This window comes from Homo sapiens, chromosome 3 (assembly GCF_000001405.40).
Source record: "Homo sapiens chromosome 3, GRCh38.p14 Primary Assembly".
Lineage (NCBI taxonomy): Eukaryota > Metazoa > Chordata > Mammalia > Primates > Hominidae > Homo > Homo sapiens.
Window position 1 is genome coordinate 60,328,742 of NC_000003.12, and position 23,083 is coordinate 60,351,824.

The window sequence follows — 23,083 nt, forward strand, 5'->3', positions numbered from 1 at the left end:
CTGTATACAATGAGCTGTTCCAAGCCAAAAATGTGTCTTGATTAATGCTGTGGTCTTTACCAGGAGCAGTTTTCCCACCCAGGTCACAGTCTTCACAAATTGGAAGCAGCATTACCTCTAGAGTAAGCAATAAATGAAAATGGTGCCTTTAATTTCAAATTATAAGGTAACACACTGATGGATAACCATAGCATGATTAGTCGATTCAGGACCTCAATACACAATAGAAGAATCCATCCATTATCTGCTCAAAGTAATTCTTTCATCCCAGCAACTTTAACAACAACCCAGGAAAATTACTGTCCCTTAGCAAAGCCTTTTGAATTTCATATGGATTTAATTAGTTAACTGCCATCTCAAGGATGAGAACCATGACAAATAGTTGTTCTTTTCAAATTAGAAGAATAGACTGTTCAATGAGCAATATTGATGTTTCCCCTCACCTATTTATACAAGAGATTTTCTACTTTTTTTTTTCTAATTTAGCTAACCATTTTAACATTTATCGAAGCTTTTGTGATCACTGTTCTCTAGCTGAGTGTTCTAGCCATTAGCCATTAGCTTTAAAAAACAGCTGAAAGCAGCCTCCCTGTGTACAGAAAATACCGTGTTCCTCACTAGAGACCCCTGGCAATCTGAACCACTACTAGAGGATTCTAACAAGACATTCTTTACCAGTGGACAGAAAAGCAAATAGAGAATATTGTTCAATGAACAATGCAACTACTAATCATAACAGTGCTGTATCTTAACCTGTAGTCATGAACCTAACCCAGCTGCTTGAGGCAAGCAGACCCCTCTTTCTTTTTAACTGTGGAACAATCTATAGCATGGGAAATGGGTTAAGATTTGGAAAAGAAGTTAGGTGAGTAACTAGCAGCAGAAAGCCAAGCACCGTAAGACTCTACCTATTCCATCTGCATTCCTGCCTTTTCTCAAAAAGATCTCAAAGCAGAAAGAAGCAATCAGAACAAAGCCAGTCAGCTCTGGTAGCTTGCTCTTACCTCTATTCTAGCTACATGTCACCTCCTGTGAGACCCTCTGCCCCTCCAGACAGTTTAAGAAACTTCTCAGAAGACTAGACACACACTTTGTGGCTACTAGTGAACAATTTATATGTGTGTTTATATTTCTACAGAACTTTGAAAAAGACTTGCATCTATATGGTAAGTAAATGCTCCTGATGTAGAAAAAAGACAAACAGGAAAGACAAAACCATTTTATTTGGTATCATCAAATTAAAAATTAATTGCCCCATATGTTCAAATAATAACTTATAGCCGATTGTGGTAATCCAACATATTGGATGTTGGCTTTCATGATCTCACCAATACATTTAGCAAATGGCTGTGGAATCTGGCAATAAAATATTTCCAGTCTCTAAGTCTTCTTGATAATTCACTCTGTGTTTTACAAACAACTGGGCTCCCGGGATTCTAAGCACATCACTCAGACTGACAGAGCAAGTATTCCAGACAATTGGTTCCTGGAGGGTCAAGACAGCAATGCTCGATCAGGATTCAAACGGGTCATAAACCCTTCATGGATCTCTCTCAAGTGGGTGGTGATGTCTCCCTAGGGCTGCTCATCATTTGCTGCTACAGTCAAGCACTTGTCATTATAGACAAACACCCCATCAGTCTTAGGTCCTCATCCAGCAGAGTCTTACTGCCACCGGTGGAGACAACCACCGGTATAAAGAAATCCAAACAAAAATTCGGCATGTGTGCCCATCCAGGCATGACTGTTCACTGTGCATTTCACTTCTACGTCTGCACTTTCAGCATGGCCACGAAACTCAGCACCTGTTTATCTGCCATGATTTCAGGCATCCAGATTGTTCTGGAACCATATATATCAAAAGCTCTAAAACACCAAACCCGTTTCTAGAAATTTATCCTAAGGAAATAATTGGACAAATGCCTAAAAGATGTATGTACAAGGTGGTTCCCTGCTGTGTTCTTTACAGAAGTGAAAGACTGGAAATGCATCAATCTCAGTTTGGTTGTCTACAGAACGGGATTGCAAAATCTGATTTACACGTGTTACAATTACATCTTGTCACCTAATGCCAGGAGCAGACTATATATGGCTTTAAGCTAAAGGAACATCAAAGTCATGAGTGCCTTGGAAAACAGAGACAGGAGTGTGCATATTTTAAAGCAGAAGCTCCCAACCACAGTCTTGTTCACATCCCTCAGTTCTTTGAAAGGCAGCCAGACCTCCATTTCTAAGGGACAAATGTGACCACAACCTCTCCCTTTTCAAGATTCTTCCAAGGCTTCCTCCTGTCACCAGAATCCCCTGCATATCTTAGCGTGGAGTTGAAGGTCTTGTGCAATCTTAAGTCCAACTCACCTACTGCCACTTTTCTCCTCACCTACACTATGCTCTAGACACTCTGGATTTCATGAAGTACCCTTACCTCCAGGCCTGTGTACATGATGTTCATCCATTCTGCCTGGAATGCCTTTCTTTACTCATCCATCAGCTTAGCTAGCCTCCTAGTTTCTTGCACCTCTCAGTGCCCTTTCCTGATTTTTTTTTCCATTCTTTCCATGGGTGGATATAGGTTCCCCTCTCCCCACATGTCCCTAAGTGCCAAGTTTCATGTTTCCTCTATACATTATAACTGCCCTTTTCATATCTCTTTCCCATCAGACCTTAGTCACCTTGGGGTCAGGAACTTTGGCTTATTCATGTTTTAGATGACAAAGAACACAATTTTAGGCAATCTCTAACTCTGCCCTCATGCCTGCCCTAGGTTGGGAAGACTTGGTAGCTTCTTTGTCACTCCAATTCTTTAACATAGAAATATACTCGGTCCGGGTATGGTGGCTTGCGCCTGTAATCCCAGCACTTTGGGAGGCTGAGGTGGGTGGATCACCTGAGGTCAGGAATTCAAGACCAGCCTGACCAACATGGAGAAACCTCGTATCTGCTAAAAATACAAAATTAGCTGGGCGTGGTGGCGCATGCCTGTAATCCCAGCTACTTGGGAGGCTGAGGTAGGAGAATCACTTGAACCCAGGAGGTGGAAGTTGTGGTGAGCCGAGATTGCGCCGTTGCACTCCAGCCTGGGCAACAAGAGCAAAACTCTGTCTCGGAAAAAAAAAAAAAGAGAGAAAAGAAAAGAAATATACTCTACTGACACTCCAGGAAGCATGCCCTAAGATCTGTACCTCATGATTCTCCCACATTATTAAGGTACAATTGTCCTGAATGCACTTGTCCTTCCTCACCATTTCTGTGTACCATGTACACAAAAATGAGGGGTGTATCCAACAAGGGAGCTGCAAACTAGAACAAGTGCCACTAGATTCTTTCATTAATGCTAATTAAATATCTATTCTATACTAGGTACTGTCCTTAGCTCTTTACATATATTAATTTATTTGGTATTCACAGCTACCCCAGAAGCAATGTCCTACTATTAACCTCATTTGAGATATCAGAAAATGGTATGAGAGAGGTTAAGAAAATTTTCTACTATCTCAAAACTCCTAAATGATAAAGCCAGAAGTTGAACCCAGGTAGCCTGGCTGCAGCATCTGTGGCACTGCTGCCTTTCCAACCTACCCAAGATGACTGAGCCTCTGGCCTGATCAAGGAGGTATGCTTGGCTATAGAGTATCTGCTCAGACACTAGAGTATCTACGATGGAGGAAAATTCGAGCAGACAGTATCATCACAGAAAGAAACTGATTATGAATGAAGAACGAGCTAGGTGTCAAATGGACATGCAGCAACAGAAATAGACAAACTAGCTGGATCATTCTTTTCCCCAGAGGGCTGTGGGATCTAGGAATGGGTGTTAACCATCACACTACTTCTGAATCTCATATACACAGGTGGAACCTGTGGGAACCTCCAAAAGACTGATTTTCCCTCTTAATGCTATTATTCTGTCCCTAGATGTGAAAAGGCAACTATTTTGGGGAGAATCGTTTTCAACAATATGAGGCTTTATATAACCAGCTTCTACTCTTCTGAGCCATCCCTTCCTTGATTTCCCCCACCACTCCATCCCTATCACAACCAAGAATTTGTTCTCCAGAAACAAAGATGACAGAAATCAAGTTAGGGACATAGAGATGCTATCACAGCCAACTCAGAGGAAGATTTTTGCCCTCCCTTATCTCAAAACCTGCATTGGCCGACATTGTGTCTGCTCCTAGACACCACTTAACGAAAGACTTTAAAAACTTTAGGAACAATTTATTTAAAGAAAACTCCATTTCCAGTATACTATGACTGTATTCCAAGGTAATAAAGTATAAATGAGAACAAGGAACAAGCTAATAAACTGAAATGAAGGCTGCATTTCAATAACAAGGTTTGGGAGCCATTTACCAGCCACGTGTATCTCACTCTCATGACTTATAACATTGGCTGAATTACTTAACAGAAATGAAAGCGCATATTGCTTCTGTTATCCAATGCTGAACAATGTGACATTTGCTTCAGAGCACTTGTATCTAATCGATACATAATGCTAAATGTGATTTAAAATCAATTTAATTGTGCTCTTGCTCTCCCATGAGTCAAGGGGGAAACAAAGGTATCATTTGAGATATGAAACCATTAGGCTATTTCCCAAAGAAATCATAGATCCCTTGCTTCTAATGGAGCCCAAGAAGTAGATACAGTTAGTTTACACTAAAAACTCCACATGTGAAAAACAGTATTGCTGAAACAGTTAAGATACTGTGCCCTAAAAGGCATATTTGAACTGTTTTTTTTTTTGAATTACAAACCAATTGAACTTTTAAAAACTTCTTTATTTGTTGTGACCTTTCTACAAATTATAGCAAATTTAAAAAGAAAAAATATAATTAAGAAAAAAACATAATATTGCATGTCATATATATACTTACTTTCCTAGATTACATACTTTTAAAATATCTGTATTCCTACATATTGAAACCAACCAAATTGTCCCATAGAGCTAATGTGTATGATTTATTTTAATAAACATAGAAATTGATTCTCCCAGTCTTAAAACATGAGAAAGTTATGTTTGTCTTTTCTGAGTTCCTTTCTCAAGAAACCAACCGTCAGGCCTCCCAGATAGGATCAAGGAGCTGAAACTCACCAGATTACTGTATTTGGACAATGAGATGTCAGATCCCTCACCCATCATGATTGCCTAACAGACCACCTGCTTCCTGTTGATCAACTTCTCTCCCTTACCCCTCCCTAATTCCTGTTTTCCTACACATGGTTACATTTCTTCTCTGCCTACATAAACCCCTCATTTTAGTCAGTGAGAGAGATGGGTTTGACACTGACTTCCCATCTCCTCAGTTACAGCATGTGATTAAAGCCTTCTTCCTTGGCAATACTTGTTGTCTCAGTGACTGGCTTTCTATGAAACAAATGGAAGGACCTAGACTGAACCCCTGGTGTTTCAGTAACCATGTAATATTTTCTATTATATTGTTTCTCTGAAAATAATTGTATAGTTATATGCTGAGCCAATCCTGAGTGTGTACAAAGATTTGGACTTGGAGTCACTTCTAGCATCCATCTGCCTGACCAACAGTTACTGAGTCCCCAGTTGGCACAAGGTTGTATTACTTATACTCAAGGAAATGAGGCTCAGACCAATTTTAAAGGAGCAAATTCAGGACTCAACTAATAATACAAGAGTCTCTAGACTTTACTTTATATGAGGATGTTTAAACAATCCAAAACAGTCAGTAAGTTCCACCTGAATTGCAGTACTTGGGTTGAGTGTCTCACTTTTAAAAACTGATGTATTGGCCAGCACAGTGACTCACACCTGTAATCCCTGCACTTTGGGAGGCCAAGGCAGGTGGATCATCGAGGTCAGGAGCTCGAGACCAGCATGGCCAACACAGTGAAATGCCATCTCTAACAAAAATACAAAATATTAGCCAGGTGGGGTTGTGTGTGCCTGTAATCCCAGCTACATGGGAGGCTGAGAAAGGAAAATTGCTTAAACCCAGGAAGCAGAGGTTGCAGTGAGCTGAGACCACGCCACTGCCCTCCAGACTGGGCGACGCCTGGGCGACAGAGAGAGACTCCATCTCAAGAACAAAACCAACAAACAAAAAAACTATATATTGATTAAACGAACTATCTGTGATTAATGTACAGCCTGTGTGTATTTTTTTTCTACCTGCATTCAAGAAATTGTATGGCTATAGTATATAAGAAACAGAATCTTTTTAAATTATTTTCCTAACAACAACTGAAAATAGTCCCATACAATGTACCCAACAAAACTTCCTTTTTCAAAATTTGCTTTAAATGGACAAAATTATGTAATAGTGAAGTAAACTTTTATTAAAAAGACCAAATTACTAGTTGAAGTTAATTGGGATAGGGTTGTTTTATAACACTATAACAAGGACATTCACACAAGATAATCTCTGATTTGTAAAGGAAAAAATAAAGTAGTTCACAGGAAAATAGTCAATTTTATGGCTCTTGTGTTTAAATAGAGGGAAGAATGTCAAAATTCCTATAAACTTAAAATTTAAAATATCTTCAGAAGTTGCCACAACTTAAAAAAAACTTGAATTGCACCAAAAATATCTAGAAAAATTTTAAGCAGTAAGTATATTCTTATAAACATCCCCATATTATTGTACCTTGTCTTCCCCCTTGACCAAGGTTTTAGACTAAATTCAGTTGACAACAGGTAACATAGCTGATAAACTGAAGATCTCTGCTTGGCATTTGATAGTTCATCATTTACATGGGCAAACAACCCACATAAATTCAAACACTATGATTCAAACATACAGATTCAAACACTATGCCAGGAATGAGCATCTACAGTGTATGCGGTTCAGGAGGGTAACCAATCACCACACATCATCATTGGGTACTTGATACAGGGTTAGCCCAAATCGGGTGCTGTGTTAGATATGTCCTGGATTTCAAAGACTCAGCACACACACACACAAAAAAGTAACACAAAAACCTCTTGTTTTTATATTGACCACATTTTAAAATTTATTAGATATATTGGGTTGGATAAACTATATTAAATTAATTATGCCTGTTTCTCTTTACTTAAATGTAAGAATTACTTTGGTGACCTACTTTCTATTAGACAGTGCTGGTAAAGAACTTAAAAAAAATGGTATGCTCCAAGTTACCACTAAGAAAAATTTTTAAAAATACATTAAATTACCAATTACATTTTTTTCTCAGATGAAACATGCATATGTTAACACAGAACATATTCTGACAGATCTGACAGAAAACATGAAAAAGTGTGCTTTCTATCATAATGATTATTTTTCAGATAACAACAGCTGTTGGCCTGTACAAGCAAGAAGCTGTTTTTCCACATACTACCAAGTATTAGCATTCAATCATGAAAGAAAACTAATTCTCCATGGGCTCTCTCCACATGCTTTACATCAGCAGCAAGCTGTGCACTCCTATGTAATCTGAAAAGCCGAACCAAGTTGGGGCTGCTTCTTGGCTCACTGCTTTGCCACTTCTCTCTAATATGGCAAATACAAAGCACTCACATTTTGCTGATTCAGAAGTAAATGAAACATTCAAGACCTGCACAAAAACCCTGACCAAAAGGAAGTCTCAGACAGGTGAGCGCCATTTTGGCTCTTCTTTAGTTACAAAGGAGATTAAAAGTAATCAGTCTCTTGAATGCCTATGAAAAGAGTGGTTAAAAGTCAGCTGTTAAAGAATGGCTTTATTCTAGAACACTTGAACATAGCCCAAATTTTGGAACTTGAAAATAGTTTAAAGTTCCCTTATAAATTTCAAGATCTCATTTATCACATTTTGTGCTCAAGAATCACCTCAGCTGCCAAAATCTAAATAGATCTGTGCTATCCAATATGGTAGCCACCAGCCACACATGGCTATTTAAATTAACAAAACTTTAGTTAATAAAAATTGGAAATTCAGGTCCTCATTGTCCATGACCACATGTGGCTACTGGCATAGTAGACAGAACAGTGGAGAACATTTCCAGCACTGCAGAAAGTTCCGTTAGACAGCATTGAATTAGATAATAACATACAGTAAGTTAGCAATTCAGAAAACTTAAAGAGAGAAGCAAATAGGGCAGAGGAAGGCATGTGACTAGAATGCAGACTAAGACTATTTAAAAAAACTCACTGCAGTTGCATTATGTCAAAGTAAGCAAAAAAAAAAAAAAAAGTTCTTTGTCAGTTTGATGAGTGTATCTGTTATGCTTGAAGATGTAGACAGAGAGAAAATAAAATCAGTGGACAGAAATTTCATTTATATATACTGGTTACGTACTTGCCACGACCACACACAAACTACAACACAGACCAAAATTCATTACTGATGAATTATGGTTTTGCTTTTCTACAAGACGGAGGTAAGCTTGGCAACATTTATTCTTGGGCTAAGTTCACAATTGAGACAACAATTCTTTCCTTAATGTGATAAATTATGCTGCTCTACATTAGGGAATGCATACTTTTTTATCGAAAGGTAGGAAAAATCGCAAGGTGTGCCTTCTCTATTTTTTTTTTCCGCCCACTAGGAAGACATGAAGTTCTATCAGGGAGTTAAAACAGTTAAATAATGGTTAAAAGCCTGCTTCTGGAATCTGAAAAACTCGGTTTCGTGGCTTTACTACTTTCTAGCTATGTAAGCATGTGTTCTGACTGTCTCCTCATCTCTAAAATTTAAATGAAGTAATGCCTGAATAATTCTTGGTACACACCATTTCTAATTAAAGGGATGCTTAATGATGCAATCATTCTTCCTTTGCTGCTAATTACTAATTTTGAAATACATGTTATGTTTTGTCATGACACATACAAATAAGCATAACTTAAGTGACAAAACCATAAACCTATGGCAAAAATACCACAGACCACTCATATCCCTCAGAGGCTTTCATGGTGGACAAGTTAGCCGTGCTGTCTCGTACACCCCACTGCACTGAGTTGCTTTGATAAACTGAGTTATGATCCTGGGAGAGAGTACTGAAATAAGACAGACACACTAAAGGCTTCTGGGAAACCACATGACATACAGGTGTACCTGGGGTTTCCATAAAGCCCAGAGATGGCAGAGAAAGACTCTTGGGGGACTGGAATGTCTGAAAATCCCATAAAGAAAACAGTTTGCATTCCTGGTCACTGGGTACAATCAAACTCAGGAAGTACTTTGTATGGGCACCGAAGTGTATCCTGGAATACACAGTCACACATTACTATCAAGCCTGGGCATTTTTACCAGTTCGAAAAATCGAACACCCAAGTTTCCATTTGTAAGGTAATTTTTCAAATAATGTTTCTTTTCGAATTTTTTTTCCCATTTATGTAGAGACCTTGAGAGAAGTGTCATACCTGAGATGCAGCAGGGGACAGGATGGAATGCGTTTTCTAGAGAATCTTCCATAAAGGGAAGCATACATATATTCTGCATCACTAAGATTAATCAGAAGAAATTGCTCAAATTCCACCACATTCCACTTTAAGACTATAGCTTTCCCATTAATCGCTACTAGCCCGAAGACCTGTCCAATGCTATAACAGTGTATGATAAAGCATATATACCTGATTTTTCACAATCATCTATACCACAAAAACTCTATTCCTGTAAATCATCTAATTATTTAGAGATCCTATTTATTTATTTACTTATTTATTTGAGACAGGGTCTCACTGTGGCGCCCAGACTCGAGTGCAGCGGCATGATCTCCACCAGGCCTTGGCTTCTCAAAGTTCTGTGATTATAGGCATGCGCCACCATGTCTATGTCTGGTCCCAGTATTTTATTTACATCCATAGTATATATGTCAGATTGTTTCTTATACCTAGAATTGATAGAAATCCTTTATCACATGCTGCCTTCCAAAAAAGAGTTCAAAAAGCATGGTTACCACATAAAGACTTGCAGTTACTAGACCACTTAGATGTTGCCTGAGAAAGATAGAGCACATGTGGTTTTCTGCATGGTATGACATATCTGAACAGCACCAGTGAATACAGAAGACCATGGCACATAATGGTGGTACTGTGATGGGGAATAAACTGCCTATTTATTTATTAGAGCACATAAATTACCAACTGATACGCAAAACACCAACTGCAAATTAAGCCTTCCCTCAGAATTAAAGAGAAAAGAGGCTGGGGAATGGAAAGAATCAGATGGGCCTGCCTCAAACCTCAGCGCACTACTTAATAGCTGCATGACCTCAGTTTCCTTAACCCTGAAATAGACATAACAAGGCCTCCTTTACAGACTTAGTGTAAAGGAGGGGACCCACAGAAGATACCATCTGGCATATAGTTTGTAAAACTTTACATTTGCTATTTCTGTTATGTATTTATGAATATACACATATAATTTTATGATATCTATTGCTATAATATATGCAATATGTAAGTATGTATGCACATATGCATATGTGTGTTTATATATAAAATGAGTGATTTTTGCTCTTTGATCTTCAAATATTTTCTTTGGATGTCAATTTTTCTTTCCTTTTTTTTCTTTCTTGATTTGGATCTCAGGATCCAAAAGTAAACTAACTTTCCTAAACCTCTTCAGTATTAAAGAGAGATTCATTTTGAGCCAGCACACTATATTTCTAGTCCATATCTGAATCCATATCTGAAACAAAGACCACGTCTAAAAGTAATACTCTTATTTCTAATTCTCACCTAACACACCCATGGAAGATAAGAAAATTAACTTACCAGGCAGCAGTAACTTCTTGGAATTCTATGCTCACACTTTGCTCAGCACACATAGGCGTTCTGTTGACAGTTGGCTCTCAACACCTCAAGTACGTGTCAGAGGGACGCGAGCCGATCAGTTTACCCAAGCTCCTTACTTATTCTCATTTACCCTCTAGAATTTTATTTCCTGCCTCAGAAAGAAGAATCCCATCTGCCAGAAGGAAATATTTGTAGCCAACATGACAAAAGTGGAATCCCTATTTTGTAACAGCTGTGAATCAAAACACTAGTGACTGAAATTAACTACATCGTGCTTCGGAACAGATGTGTGCACAGAAACCAACTCAAGCTCTGGTGTTCCTGGGCACCATGTGTAAATCATCCACAGACAACACGGTGGGCCATGTTCTCACCTTGTTGCTATGCACGCTCATTTTTAATGTTCTCCTGAACCATTGCAGACTTTGAGATTTTTTTTTAAAGGCTTAGAATCTTTATTTCCAAAAGAGGAGATTCTGAAAGTTGCCAATCACTCACTGGAAGACCTAACTAAACAGATGGGTTTTGACACCTCTGGTTTGATTTTAAATGCAAACATGTCAAATTATGCTCTGGCACAGGTTCTTCTGCCTCAAAATTTTATGGAGGGGTGTTTAATTTTTTTTAAGTTTTCTTCTCTGAACTCAGTTGTTCCACCATTAGCAATTAAGGCAATAAAGGACTTATTACAGAAACAGTGATATGATTGCTGTATTTTAATGCAGCAGCCTTAAGTAATTGAAAATCATTACTAAAAACTTTAGGAAATAAATTTCAAGAACAGACATCTGCAAATGAAGTTGAAGGTAAGGTCACATTTTTATATAAATAGGAAGCGAGAAGAAAAACATATGGCTTTCTTTGGTGACTCTTCCCATAATCAACATACATGTATTATCTCCTACAACCGAATTAGAAGTAAGTGGTACATTGCCTCTGATCACTGTTCTTGGGAGCCCATGGCAGACAATGGTAATCCACTGCAGCCCTTCCACCATCCATGCCCTTCAGATGCAAAAGACTTGACTAGCTGCTCTGAACAGATACAAATCAAGGGAGGACTTGAACTTCAGACAAGTAACTATATGGTTAGAAAGATTAAATATACACAAATGTAATCACTTGAGAACATTTTAAGCAACATGTCAGAATATGCAAGACGATGGGCTGCAGGATAATTAATTATTGAGAATATACAGTTGACCCTTGAACAACACAGGTTTTAACTGTGAGTGTCCACTTATATGAGGAGGACTTTTTTCTTTTTTTGAGACAGAGTCTCACTCTGTTGCCCAGGCTGCAGTGCAGTGGCGTCATCTTGGCTCACCACAACCTTTGCCTCCCAGGTTCAAGTGATTCTCTTGCCTCAGCCTACCAAATATCTGGGACCATGCCTGGCTAATTTTTGTATTTTTAGTAGAGATGGGGTTTCACTATGTAGGCCAGGCTGGTCTCTAACTCCTGACCTTGTGATGCGCCCATCTCAGCCTCCCAAAGTGCTGGATTACAGGTGTGAGCCACTGCACCCGGCCTATATGAGAATTTTTTTTAAATGAAACATGGATTAATAGTATAGCATTGGGGAATATGATACCTCCATATTTGGATGGCTGACTTTTGGTATCTGCAGATCCACAGAGCCAAATGCGGGACTTGAGTATTCACGGATTTTGTTATACGATGAGTATATCCTTGAGTACACAGAAGGATGACTGCGTTCTCATTCCACCGTGGGGGTGTGTTGTTTTGAGCTGGATATATCCACACAGCACTTTAGTTTGTAAGGTATACCTATATTAAGCCTCATCGTTGCATGTATTATTTTGTAATAATATGTTGAATTTATAATTTTAAAGGGTTAAATAACCAGTACAGTTTAAAAATTGAGTAAATAAAAACTGAGAAATTAAAATCTGTTCAAATAAGCACTGCATTTAAAACCCATAGATACACAAACTCTACAGAAGCCTGGAGAACCAGGCCCACGTGGAGACAAAGGCAGGATTGAATGAGAAAAATGTGTTTCTATCACAAATCATAATTACTTGTAGAAAATCTTTTTACTGCGTTCTAAGCTCTGTTGGGATCCATGCCTTGAAGGTAACACACCATTGGTTGCTTTTTCCTGCTCTCCCTCTTGATTTTTTTTTTAATAGACTGAAGGTAGGAAATGCTATATGCTTATCTCTGAGAAGATGCCTCTATGTAGTCTCTCTGCTTTATAATTAGCAACAGTCTTTCCCAAATTCTACACTTAGATTGACTTCCAACTTAACAGATGTTACAGTGAATTTCTTTTTTCTTTTTGTGTCTTCATGGGTATTTTAGTGCGAGGTAACCAAAGGCTGTGTGTAAGGCTACCAGGGAAATATTCGCACCGCCTGGGTCAGAACCCTGTACGTGGCATGGGTCTTAGTAATCTTGCAGAATTTTGTTCCTTAGTTCAGCCAAAACGAGGTTCTTGTCACATGACCAGCGAGGATTAGAAACGTGGACACATTGAAGGGTAAGGGAATTGGAATTTATTGGGTGAAAAAGAAAAAAGAAAAAAAACTCTCAGCAAAGCAAGAGGGGATCCTGCTAACAGGCCATCACCTCACACATTGAATTCCAAGCCATACACAGGACCTGAAGATGCCAGGCTCCTCCCCACTGCACAGGAGGTGAACTTCCCCTGGCTTCACCCTGTTCTCCCAATAATGTGAGGGTGGGTCAGAGATTCTCCAGGACCCTCCTTTTATCTGCATCCTGCATCTATCAGTAAGTAGTTATTGAATACACAATTGCATGAGCAATGTTTAAGGAGCAGAGAGAGCTCTTTGCATAGCATATCAGGCAGCTGATCACTCAATAGGATTTAAAAGTCACTGAATAGACTGCTAGGTTCCATAGTGTGGCAGATATAACACAGGGTCTGAGATTCTCATCCTAGGTTTATGAATGTTTTGTGTTTGGACACCAAATTCTGATTTTAAAAAGATTACTGTGATAAAACCTATTTAACATAAAATTTACCATTTTAATGTTTAAATATACAGTTTGTGTCTTTAAATACATTCACATTATTGTGAAGCTTTTAATAGATTGAATATTCTTCTCTTCTGATCAACAGCAAGATGATTTACATAATTCTGTAAAACTATGAGTTGGCCCATTCCCTCAAGTAAAGCATGAAGACTTAAAAGCAACATGGAACACAGAAAGAGAAAAAACTTTGAGCCCAACAAGATTTTGGCTTTGAAAGAGAAGTAAGATGTTTAACTAAGACTCAATGGAAGGAAAAATATTGTCTGGAGATACTGAAAGTTGAGAATTATAAAGAGTGATTACAAATGCAGAAGGTAAAAGTATTGGAGCAAAAATTGGAAATCTGCTCACATTTACTGGCTTTTTAAGCAAGTTCTATCATAGAGGATCTCTCATCCAACCTTCCCAAGGAATTTGTCATCACTCTAATCCACAGCTAATTTTGGCACAGAAATTATATTAGTAAACTCAGCCATATTGTCTTCTCACATGAAGACAGGACTGATGTCCTCTAAATAAAAAATTAGAGTCTATAGCGATTTGTTTACAATAACAACTGATAGTTACACCCCAGGGATCTTCTTTTTGCATATCCTGGTTTTTAATAATGAATTATACCTTCTATACATTCTTTCAAAATGTAAATCAATATACTAAAAAAACTACAGAATAAGTCAACATAAATTGCCCTGTGTGAGGGTGCCTAGTAGACCAATACTAATATTTTGGAGGAGATTTCTACTTTGTAGAATCTACTGAGATTCTGAAAGCTGCCTGCAATTCTGCAAGTGTAGGGAATGGGGGAAGAGACAGGGCAGAGGAATGAAGCAATGGACTTATCTAATCAAAAGCCTGATTAAAACACTCCCTAGCAGTCTCTAAGATAGAACTATAGGGAGGCAGCAGGCAATCAAAAGGAAGAGGTCCAGCTATTTAAGTATAGCTCATATCTATTCACTCCGTTGTTTGATTAGATTTTTACCTGTACCAAGTCTATGTAGGTATGATGAAGAAAGGTGGTGTATTAAAGATGAGGAAAGGTGGTGTATTAAATATTCCTAACACCACTTTCCCCAGATATGCTACTAATACCACCCCAAATTTTCCACTACGCTTTGCCATCATGCCCTTTGAAACCTAATTAATAATGTTTCATTTTTAAGATGATAGTCTAGGCTGCAATTTTAAATTGGTAAGACTAATATCACTATCTATAGTAGAATACCTCTTTCCTCCACCCACATTCTGATGCACTGTGGATACATCTGTCCACAACAAGAGATTAAACCATCCCTTTCTGTCTTTACTTCTCCTTTAAAAGCCCTGGACTGTCTTAATTTTTGACAGAAACTAACTTCTTTCCCAACAGTGGTGGACTACTAGAATTCCATGAAGCATGCTTTTGGTGGCTCATGTTGTAAAAATCATGTATCACTTTCTCTTGTGACCTGTCATCAAATGTGACATAATTTAATGCAACAGCTCCAATTTTAAGGATGGCATTTTGCACTTTGCTTTCAAACTCTATGACTACAGTTATCCAACAGAAGCTGGCCGACCTCAGTGGAACAGACGGGGATCTGTTAACAGGTTGCCAACTTTAAATTACTGCTGAGTAGCTTAGCATATCTCTAGAATAATTCCTTTAAAAAGTAATTAATCATTATTTCAAAAAGGTCTTCAGTGAAGTGTATTTTCTATATTTTACTGATGGGTAGCATTTGATTGGAAACAGCTAATACTTCTCCATTCTCTGTCTTGCATTTACATTTTTACTGTTTTCAATATTGCTGTTTTTGTTTGATGACAACTAGGGACAACTCAGGGAGCAGACTGAGATGCGTCCAACAAAGAGAATATGAATAGCAATCTAGAAGAGTGAACATTAGGCAGCTAATGCATAGAAATACTTGTATTTTGTATCTATTTTCTCCATATTTCAACTGAAGATTCTTGCCTCATGTTGGAAACAGATTGAGAAAAGTCACTCGTGTCAGTACTACAGAGAACACATTCCATGAGCCCATATCTTCAGCAATGTGTTTGCATCCTAGAAATTATTTCAGATTATGCTCTCTCTTGAGGCCATAAAAGGCAAACACTGGAGGAGGAACAGTGAGGAGAAACTACATAAATAGCTACAGGCTGTATTTTAGAGACGCCTCCAAACTTGTTAGAAGATAACGTGTTGACTTTTAGGGTTTGTCAGGAAAGTTAATAAAGCTAGATTTATAAGTATCTTTCAAGATTTTTTTTTCTAATTGAAAAATAAGCCACACGAAAACTGTATTCTAACACTCTTTGGAAACTGGTATCAAATCAGTCCATCACCCACTTCAAAGAATTTTATTAGCCAAGATATCATAAAAGTCTACATTTTAAGATTTTTTCTTTTTATCATAAAAAATTTCAAAGACATAGAATGATATAATGAATCATTTATACCTCCACTATCACTCACAAAACTATTTCAAAACAAATCCCAGATGTTACTTAAGGCAATGTCATTAGCAAATTTCCCTTTGTATAAACACTATAAATTGCTTTAAAGTAAACTTTATGAAAATCATATGCTTTATTTAAGATTAGGAACATCCTAATCCCTTTTCCCCATACTTCACAAATTTTAAATCATTTGTGTCATACTGGTAATGAACAAATTACTAAGTGTGTACAACAGAGATGATATATGTTGTCCTCCTATTAGGGACATCCAGTACGTGTCCATGACAAGTATTCCCCTGGATCTTACTACAGGTCCCTGTTGAAGCTGGGCAGGGCCTCACAGTGAGTTCCAACACAGCACACCAGGTAACACTAACTCATCAATTAGAGACAGCATGAGAACTACTGACCTTCCTGGTCTACAGCTTACTGTCAAGGAATCTCATAGCCAGGAATAAGCTTCTTTACCAATTCCTGCTATTGTTAAATACCTACAATCACACTGTTCAACTAGGAGGAGAACTAAGTATTCATGATGGCTTGGACCTATGTGGATACTCTCCTTGCTTTTCAAGCTCACAGAGAATGGATAAATTATTAGATTTCAGAAAACCAATTGTAGACTAGAACGAGAACCTAGAATGATCTACCAAATCCAGTTTGTGACTAAAAGATGGCATTGTTTCCATTGTCAAAATCATGAAAGTAGACTATCGTCTCAAGATAGAAACACCATCTTTACCTTCCATTATGGACCTTTTAATAGGAACACAGTGCTAAATTCCTAAATTACAACAGTTTATTGAATCTTGAATGACATCAGTAGTAAGACCTACCATTATTTTATGCACTTTAAGAAAGAAAATGTCTTTTTGAAAACTATGACATGCTATCAATTATAAGAAACACCTGGTTTCACAGTTACTAACATATTTGTATATACACACAGATGCATTCTATTAATTTGTATTTAAGCTAACATTTCTTACTTGAAGATGCATTGGTAATTTATTGATAGGAAAATCACTTCCACAACTAAGGATAGTTTTTCACCTTTGTTGCTCTGCAAAGCTTGGTCTTATCTATTCTTCCTTTTAAGATTTCATTTCCACCATCAATCCCAAGGGCAACTGGTTTAACGTAATAGAGAAAGTCCTGGCTAGGGAAGCAGAGTGTGTTCCCTGCCAACATTTGCCCATGTCTGCGCCCAAATACACAGTGACTCCTTAGAGAGTCCTCACGCAATGTCCATCAATTAATATTTTTATTATTAGAGAGGCTAGTGCTCTTTACAGCATTGGAAACCTAGAAATTCTACCAGCTTAGCCAGCTTTTGCTACCTATAAGAGTAGTGGAAAAATAACAACATGGTAAGGATATCTTTCTGTTTTCACTGATCTGAAGTCACAAGCCTATAAAACCATTCAATTATAAATGTGAAAATAAATAATGCTAATAATGACAGCTCTTGTCAACTGGACATGCCCAAAGCAGACTGGAGCCAGATATGTGCACTGAGGGAAGTGGGTGGAGCCACAGGGAATTTGCACCTTACCCAGGGGAGGAGCCTGTGCTCTTCAGCTCATCTGTGTGGCCTGGAATCGATCTATGAGATGAGGACCTGTTAGCAGGAATCCCCCACGCTTTGCTGAGAGTTTGTTTTCTTTTTTCCTTTTCGCCAAATAAATTCCATTCCCCTCATCCTTCAAACTGTCTCCATGCCTAACTTTTCCTGGTGGTGTGACAAGAACCCAGTTTTAGCTGAACTAAGGAACAAAGCTCTGCAACAGTTGCAACTAAATTGCATTAAAACAAGATGTGCAAGATGAGTTTTGAGACCTACATCCTTTTATTAAGGCAGAAAAATTCAAGTCCATAATGAAGTCAATATGAAAAGGACCTGAATTTAGGTTTCTGTAGCAATCCATTTTATGGATGTTGCTTTCTTAGAAATTTTATGTTTTAAAATAGATTTTTAAAATTTATTACCTTAAAGATTTTTTCCTGTAGATCATATGGACACTTAATTTCTTCTATCAGGCGTATCATCTAGAAATATAATGCTTACATGGGAAATATATTATCTTATGATTTGATAAAAAATAGATGGAGTTGCAAATATACTTTTATGATATTCTTGAATTTTTTTTTTCCAATGCAAAGATTCCCAATCTGCCTACCAACTGAACTGTTTTGGTCGTGAAACATTACCTTCTCGGTATGTGGTATGCCTATCAGCAGAAAAGTAGTAAAGAAGAATAGACTAACTTTAGTTATTACATTTGCATTGTCTACAAAGCCATTTACTTAATGGATGAGTCTCATTAGCAGTCCAACCACAATATAAAGAATACAATGATGTGTTTCATAGGTTCATTAAAATAATATTTCAAAGGAGTCATTAGAATAAAAGAAGCTGAAGTTTCAACAGACAGTAAGTTGTCTGCAAATAAATGAGATGGAACCAACATGTTTTCAAGTAAGTTAAGAGACATGTTTACAAATACATTACAGCCATTAAAAAAGGAAGCATCAACTTAGCAAGTGCTGGGGGGACGATTACTCATGCAATTTACTAAAACAAAACTGTAACACTCTCACATCAATAGTTATTGTAGATGCAAACGCCTGTAGGTACAGGAAAATGTGTCTTAAGAAGGAAAATTCATTCTACAGCCCCGAGATGATTCTCCACTTGGAAGCAAAATTGAAAACATTCAATCCTGTCTTCAGATCACCACTGGTTTGGGGGGGGGGGGGGTTTGTTTTTTGTTTTGTTTTGTTTTGTACACACTTTTGTGTTATTTGCCCCAAACCCCAAGCATGCCTATCTTTTCATTTTTTTTTGAGACAAAGTCTCGCTCTTGTTGCCCAGGCTGGAGTGCAATAGCACGATCTTGGCTCACTGCAACCTCCCCCTCCTGGGTTCAAGCGATTCTCCTGCCTCAGCCTCCCAAGTAGCTGGGATTACAGGCGCCCACCACCATGCCCGGCTAATTTTTGCATTTTTACTAAAGACGAGGTTTCACCATGTTGGCCAGGCTGGTCTCAAACTCCTCACCTCAGTTGATCCACCCTCCTTAGCCTCCCAAAGTTCTGGGATTACAGGTGTGAGCCACCACACCTGGCCTACCCTTTCATTTTAAAAAGAAATTCATGGTAAATTAGTAACATGAATAATCCTGTAAGGGCAAAAAGTATACTGAAAAAAAAATTGTGTCTATTTGTAATTATCTAACCACACCTAAGAATTGACAAATGTTTGTTTAACAAATCAATGGATGAATAAATGAATGAAAAAAGCAATTACTTAGCAAAGGAGAGTTTTTAGATTAGGTTGTTAATTATTGCTGCTTTATCAATTTTTAAACCCAGTATTTCCACCTGTAAGCAAAATAATAAACAGCTTGTATATATGTTCAATAATGTTGAAATCTTTTCACAAATAGCAGTGTCAAATTTTTTTTAACCAAGATCATAGAGTTTATATTAAAACTAAGGATTTTATTTTTGGGTTTTTTTTTCACAAAGAAAATTAACATGTAGAACAAAATAAAAACCACTAAAGGAATAGAGATTGCCATTTATTTATTAACTTTCCTTTTTTGAAAGAGCTTAGATTTATAATTCTAAGAAATACAAGGTAAGACACACACATGTGTAAGTATACCTGGGACTTGGCAATAAGTCACAGGCACCTAGACCACAGCTCTTGTGGCAGAGAGCAAAAATGGCCCCATGTAATTTGCAATGTCTTCCCACTCTGCATCCTGACTCACCTTTGGATGCTTGGCTTAGCCATGTAACTTGACTTGGCCAATGTGATATCAGCAAATGGACTTGGAAAGAGACTTGAAAAGGCTTTGTGTATTTCTCTTTGTGCTCTTCCTATTTGCCATCAGCATTAGAACATGCCAGGGATAGCCTGCTGGCGGATACAAAATATTTAGAGCGGAGCTAAGTCATTCAGCCAAGAACAGCCTAGATCATTGCCCAGCCAGCTAACCCTGACATGTGATTGAACTTAGCCAACCTCAGCACATTTGCCTAGGTGACCCCAGCTGATTGTAGGTATAAGAGAAATAAACATGTGTAGTATGGCACTACTTGACATCCAACAGATTCACATATAAGCTTTGTACTTTGCAGTAAGATTATTCTCCAAATAGAACATCAGGTTGCATAAAATCAAAGTAGTACTGGGTTTTATTAAAGTAACTAATAAAAAATTATTCATTTTCTATTTTTTAAAAGAGAAAAGACAAAATTAAATTTGTATGCACAGTCTGAATTTTGAAGTGCTGGAAGCTTACTCAACAATACATCTACTGCTGAATTCAGCTCACAAGCCACCAAGTGTCAACCTCTGTTCTAGGTACTGAGAAGATTCCATGATTTCAAGCTGTTTACGGATTTTGTGAGAAGGACAGACACATAGTGCATTACATAAAAGAAATTAAAACTATTATGTCTTAATGCTTACCACGTGGACGAATATAAACAATTTGGATTTCCAGATGTTTTCTGGAATGCTTGCTATTTTGCCTAAAAGGTAATAATCAGACCAATCCCTACAATTAAGGAGTTTACTCTCTATTTTTTAAATATATAATTGATAAGCAAACATATTCCAAAAGATTCATTGTAAGTCTAAGTTTTTCAGAAGGTACTAAACTCCAAAAATATACAAGCCTCCAAAGATAAACTGTTTATTAATAAACGTATATATAAGGACTTCAGCAAACATAGCTTCCTGAGAAAAAGCAATTCAAAGATCAATATTTCCTTTTAAATTTTACACAACTTGGACAAAATTTTCTAAAGAAATCACAATTTTAAAAATGTTGGAAAGCCAGTTCCATTGCTGAATTCATAAGGTAACTTACCGTAAATCATATATGATTATCATATTTATAACTAACATCACATAGCCCCTTCCAGACTGTCAACTCCATGAGGGTAAAACCTAGTTATGTTGACATCTGTTTTCTCAAGCAGTTAGAATTTCCTGATTCATTCTCTTGTCTATCTGGCTGGAACAGCTAAAATTAAGGCAGTGGAGATCATTAGTTTGATAAAACAATAGAAGACAATTGGTATTGGTGTAGGAGCCACTCACCAGAAATGCTGTAAGTAATGACTAGGTTCTGCAGAAATAAAATTAACAGATTATTACAGTACACACTCCCATACCTACATCAGGAGTGAAAGGATCAAGCACCACAGTTAAAATAATAATGTCAGTTGCAACTGGGGAACTGAGGGTCCTGGAGACTCCCAACTCAGATGCCTGAAGAAGCCAGGGCAGGTATAGTAAGCAAGCAGGGAAAACTTGGTAATAGTGTACATGTGTACTTGGCTTCTGAGTAGTGGAGATGGCACTGAACTGGCAAGCCCATATCCCAACTAAAAGTGGGTTTCAGCTACTAATCTCTAACCAATATTTGCCATGTAGAAGGGTAGAGCTCCAAACTCCCATGATTTTATATATACATATTAAATGGAACCACAAATAGCAATTTCTACATATTATCTCCAAAATTGTACGTAACGTCACAATTTTTAAAACCATTATGTAGAACAAATAAGACACATGTTTAAGCATTTGTGCTTTCCCAAAGATGATGTCACCTTTGTTCCTGGTCCAGGAAGCTAAAAACAAGTAAGAGGTGACTTCCTCCCATTTCTTCTCCCTCCTTCCTCCCTGTATTCCACCAACAGTGCTACTTAAAGTATGGCTATGGAATATTGCCACTCCAAAACCTATTTTTTTCTTTTTTGGTCTAAGATAAGCGTGATGAACAGGTAAACTCCATGATCCAGCCCCCTGTATTCATGCTCTTGTGTGTAATCTCCTCTCTTGAGTGTGAACAGTGTCAGTGATTTGCTTCCAACCAAAAGAAATGCAAAGATGATAGAATGTTACTGCTATGATTATGTTATGTAAAACTCCATCTTGCTAGCAAACTCACTCGAGAGTCTCTCTCCCTTGTTGGCTTTGAAGAAGCAAACTGTCATGAATCCTACAGCCACAAAGAAACGAAGTCTGTCAACAACCTGAGGGAGCTTGGAAGTAGATCCCTTCCCAGTCAAGCAGCTGATGAGACCACAGCCCCAGCCAAAAGCTATATTGCAGCCTGGTAGGACACTGAAGCAAAAAAAAGCCATTAACCCATGTCTGAACTTCTGACTCACATGAACTATGAGATAATAAAGGTGTGTTATCTTAGCACCACTAAATTTGGAGTAATTTGTTATATAGCGACAGCAAACTAATACAAGGGGCCTACCCCTTAATGTTAATTAACTGTATCACTAGGCACATTGTTTAGTTTGACTGATATTTATTTTTTGTAATAGTACTTTCTCAATGAAGGAAGCAATACATTGAATTACACTCAGACGCAAGCCACCTCATCTCACAGCAGCCCAATACCTTGAGTTCTACAGTTGATGGGCATAGTGGAAAGAGAGGTCTGGTGTAACTTTATATGCAGAAAATGAGAAAGGCACATTTTCTTCCTTTGACTTATAATTTTGTCTAATGATATATGCAACAGAGGTAGTCAAGAGCAGGGTCAGGGAAATGGAGACTATGGTGAAGGAGTTATTACCTGTAATACTTCTAAGTTGCATCATAAAAATTTGCTATCACTACAGATAAAAGCAAAGGATGAGCTAACTGATAATACCTGTAAAATGCTGCAAACACCACCATGATGTGGTGAGGAAAGCAAGATAAACATTCCTATAGAATCCTCCTATTACTACTTGCCCTGGGGCCTTGTGAAAATCTAGAGAATCTAATAGTCTAGTACTCAGCTCGCAAGGAAACCAGTCAGTCATCTTTGTCATTCTCTGCTCATATCTTATTTCCTAACACAACAAAATCACTT

General features: G+C 37.7%; 1 protein-coding gene and 1 long non-coding RNA gene across 8 annotated transcripts in view; both read right to left on the bottom strand.

The window, feature by feature from the left end:
• FHIT (fragile histidine triad diadenosine triphosphatase) overlaps positions 1–23,083 on the bottom strand; it is a 1,504,176-nt gene that overhangs the window by 581,465 nt on the left and 899,628 nt on the right. The window lies entirely within an intron of this gene.
• The window catches only part of LOC107986015 (uncharacterized), a 100,472-nt gene that overhangs the window by 72,461 nt on the left and 4,928 nt on the right, over positions 1–23,083 (bottom strand). For both annotated transcript variants that reach the window (XR_007095935.1, XR_001740433.3), the window contains exon 1: positions 1–23,083. This exon is cut by the window's right edge and continues 4,928 nt beyond it. This is a non-coding gene — a long non-coding RNA (uncharacterized LOC107986015).